Here is a 3,794-nt window from a genome sequence, read left to right as displayed (position 1 = left end):
TGGAGAAAACAGAATAGTGAGAGTGGTAAGAAGAATCATAGTAAGAGTGACAAAAATTGTATACTTGTATAGTGCTTTGCAGCTAGCAAAAATGGAAAAAGATGCTTTCATAGAGGAAAAATGCGAGACATTTTCCTTCTATTCACCCCAAAGCATTTAAACTTATTCTTTCTCTCAGCAAACAGGAGAATTTGATGACTGGGATACATGATTTTCCCAGGCCAATGGAAAGCTAGGAAAAAGCCGTAGAAATCCAGATTTTGAAGACATCGGAAGGGAAACAATCTAACCACCTCATTTTACAAATTAGGAAGCAGATCCAGAGACAGAAAATGAGTTCTGTGTCAGCTTTTGATTTAGGAGGAAATGATTATGAAAGAAGTGATTGTATTTGTGTTAAAATTAAGTGGTGTCCTCATTAAAACTCTATCTCTTAGGACAGGACAGGCATGAGTGGAGACTTACATTTACTGAATACCTGTTATGTTCAATGGATTTCACATTCGTTATGTCCTCTAATTAACTTATTAATCTTCACAAAATCCTAGGAGGTAGATATCATTTTACCTATTAATTAAGAGGTTTAGTAGCTTGTACAAGCCCAGATTAATAATTAGCTGCTTCTGGAATCAAACCCTGATTAAGAACCTCACACTGACTCCAGAGGCGAAGCAGTTAAAGAATACTGAAGCTAAGAACAATGAAACCCTATTTTCATTTTAAAGTACTGTTTCCATTTCCCTTTCATTTTAAATGAGTTAGACACATCAAATATTATAGAATAATGGCTTGCCCCAAGTAAATAAAAGCTCAATTTTATGTTTGAGTCAGTAAAATGCTGACACATATACAAGCAAAAACATCCAGGAGAGACATATTTCTAAATTTCTTCGCCACTGCCTGGCTCAGAGGTACCAAAGTCCTCCTTCCTCAGTGTCTCTCTGTGTAAAATGAGGGCATTCTGCTCCTGGTCTTCAGGCTCTAAAAAACAAAACAAAACCCAACAAAACAAAAAACTCCACTACAGGCCTACATGGTCTCCCCCATCCACCCCTCAAGACAAACCTTTAAAATATCCAAGAATAGAAACACAAATAGGTAGTGGGTCACAGACGCACTGAAATATGACCCAATTCAAACATAGGAAGTGCAGTTGCTTCAGTGGGTTGGAGCAAGTCACAGTGAGCATTCTGACACATTTGCCTCTGGTGGTGAGATTAATTGATGTACACTGGCCGGTTGCACTGCCCATGGGGAGCTTGGATACTATTGTACAATTTAGTTATTGTACACTTGATAGTATTGTACAATTCAGTTATTGTACACTTGAGATCTAATTCTTTGCATAAATTCCGGGAGTCACTCCTTCAGGACACTGGTGCACTTCTTTTTCCAGAGGAAATTTAAAAAGAGAAAGTTAATAGGGTGAACTACAGCTCCACTGCTGCTGCTACTCAATTTACACTCATCATCTCCCTTCACGTTGTCCATTCTAGATCTCCTTCACCTTCAGCTAGCATCTCTGCTGGTCTCAGTGGCTCACCCAGTGGCATGACTCGGTCCCGCATGTTTTAGAAATCTGAGCCCCCTGAGCACTGTACCCTTTGCAGATCGTGGTTGCTGTCTAAAGAGACACTCAAGTGAATCATGTAAGAACAATTGTTTAGCATAGTCATAGCTCAGGTATTCCTTGGAAAAAGGATGAAACGATACCTTTAGTTATGACTGTCTGATCACTCACAGGGAATAATTTTTCTCCTTGCTAACTCATTGGCATTTCCATTCCTTCCATCTCCCATCTCTTCTCTTTTTCTCTCATGCTTAATATGTATCAAGCATAGTTCTAAGTACTTCACATATAGTAACTTACTTAGTTCTCACAACAACCCTGAGATAGGTATATGTTATCCTCATTTTAGAGATTAACAGTAGTGTGCAAATAAGTTAAAGAAGTATCCTTAGTCACACAGGAAGTACATCTGGGGACCAAGATTTGACCCGATGCAGCCTGCTCCAGAGTCCATGCCTGTAACCACAGATGCTATTCAGGTATCAGTTAAAGTCATAAACTACACATACTTCCTACTTCCCAGTCTTGGTTAACAATGTGCTTGCTTATTGATAAAGGTCGCTAAAAATACTTGGCTCAATCCAAAGCACCTTAGTCAGCTTTTAGCTAATTTGCAAGTCTGTAAGATAGTTGTGGCTGAAATTGCTAGTTCCAAACAGCACTGCTTTACTTTGGACTGAATTTCAGTTGCAGCTGGCATTGTGGGCCTATTTGATTGACTCATTTATTCTTCATCTCCAGCCTGAAGCTCATCTGCAGCCTTTCAGCACTCCGCGTTCCAGCCACACCCTGTAACCTGCTGCATGTTTCCGCCTCTGTGCTTGGCCTGTGCTATTCCCACTGCCCATAGTGCCCTTTTCTTCCTTCTGGACCTTGGAAACATATTCCCATTCTTCCAGCCCTACCATGCCAGCCACTGGGGAGTGATGGTAACGTTACAATAACTTACTTATGCATCCTTTGCCCCCTTCAGATTGAACTCCTGATGATATAACAATGCATTATTCTTTTAGTGTCATTTCCCTATTTAATACCCTAGCACTTTGGGAAGCTAAGGCAGGTGGATTGCCTGAGCTCAGAAGTTCGATACCAGCCTGGGCAACATGGTGAAACCCTGTCTCTACTAAAATACAAAAAATTAGCTGGGCATGGTGGCCTGTGCCTGTAATCCCAGCTACTCGGGAGGCTGAGGCACAAGAATTGCTTGAACCCGGGAGGTGGGGGTTGCAGTAAGTTGAGATGGCACCACTGCAGTCTGCACTCCAGCCTGGGCAACAGAGCAAGATTCTGTCTCCAAAAGAAAAAAAAAAATTAATACCGTAAAGACACCAGGTTAATGTATAAAAATTTTCCCACGATAATTTTAAATGTGACAAAAACCCTTTTGAAGGTATCTGGCATTAAAACACATTAATAATTCCTTTTATGAAAGAGTTGTCCTGAGCCGAGTTCATAATCCTCTTACTTTCACTGTAAGACCTTCAACCTCTAAGGAAAGAAGCAGTGTAAGCAGAGAAATTAGCTGGGTTGTGATACACTCTCAAGTGACACATCAGCCACACCCACAGGGATCTTTGCAGCTTTGACGGTCCTCCAGAATGATGCCAGGTTGGGGCACAGAGGCTGGATACTTTTTACTCCTTCATCAACCAGTCATTGGATGTAGGCTCTCCTTAGAAGGGAGCATGACATTGACAAGGGCAAATGCCGAACAAAGGTGACATCCAAGGCTGTTTTCTGATAATAATCCCAGCAGGTAAGGGAATAAGTCTGCATCATTCCTGAAGGGGGAGGTGGAGGGCACATCACAACATCTACTCCAATGTACCCCTGTACAGTTCAGATCTAATTCTTTGTATAAATTCTGGGAGTCACTCCTTCAGGACACTGGTGCACTTCTTTTTCTGGAGGAAATTTAAAAAGAGAAAGTTAATAGAGTGAACTACAGCTCCACTGCTGCTGCAACTCAATTTATACTCACCATCTCCCTTCACATTGTCCATTCTTGATCTCCTTCACCTTCAGCTAGCATCTCTGCTGGTCTCAGTGGCTCACCCAGTGGCATGACTCAGTCCTGCATCCTTTAGAAATCTGAGCTCCTTGAGCACTGTGCACTTTGCAGACCATGGTTGCTGTCTAAAGAGACACTCAACTGACTCATGTAAGAACAAACATATTTCTTCCTGCCCTCGTTGTGAAGCATTAGCCTAACTTCAGTTTCAGT

At 41.5% G+C, this 3,794-nt stretch overlaps 1 annotated feature.

Annotated features, from left to right (window-relative positions):
- Positions 1,274-2,473: an enhancer, noted in NCBI's record as "CDK7 strongly-dependent group 2 enhancer chr7:117590690-117591889 (GRCh37/hg19 assembly coordinates)". NCBI's record gives its function as "activates an origin of replication core promoter dependent on BRD2, BRD4, P300/CBP, MED14 and CDK7 cofactors, with strong dependence on CDK7, by STARR-seq in HCT116 cells {active_cell/tissue: HCT116}" and the evidence as "EXISTENCE:reporter gene assay evidence [ECO:0000049][PMID:35650434]".

The sequence above is a fragment of the Homo sapiens genome, chromosome 7 (assembly GCF_000001405.40).
Source record: "Homo sapiens chromosome 7, GRCh38.p14 Primary Assembly".
Classification (NCBI taxonomy): domain Eukaryota; kingdom Metazoa; phylum Chordata; class Mammalia; order Primates; family Hominidae; genus Homo; species Homo sapiens.
This window is presented reverse-complemented; position numbering and strand designations above follow the sequence as displayed.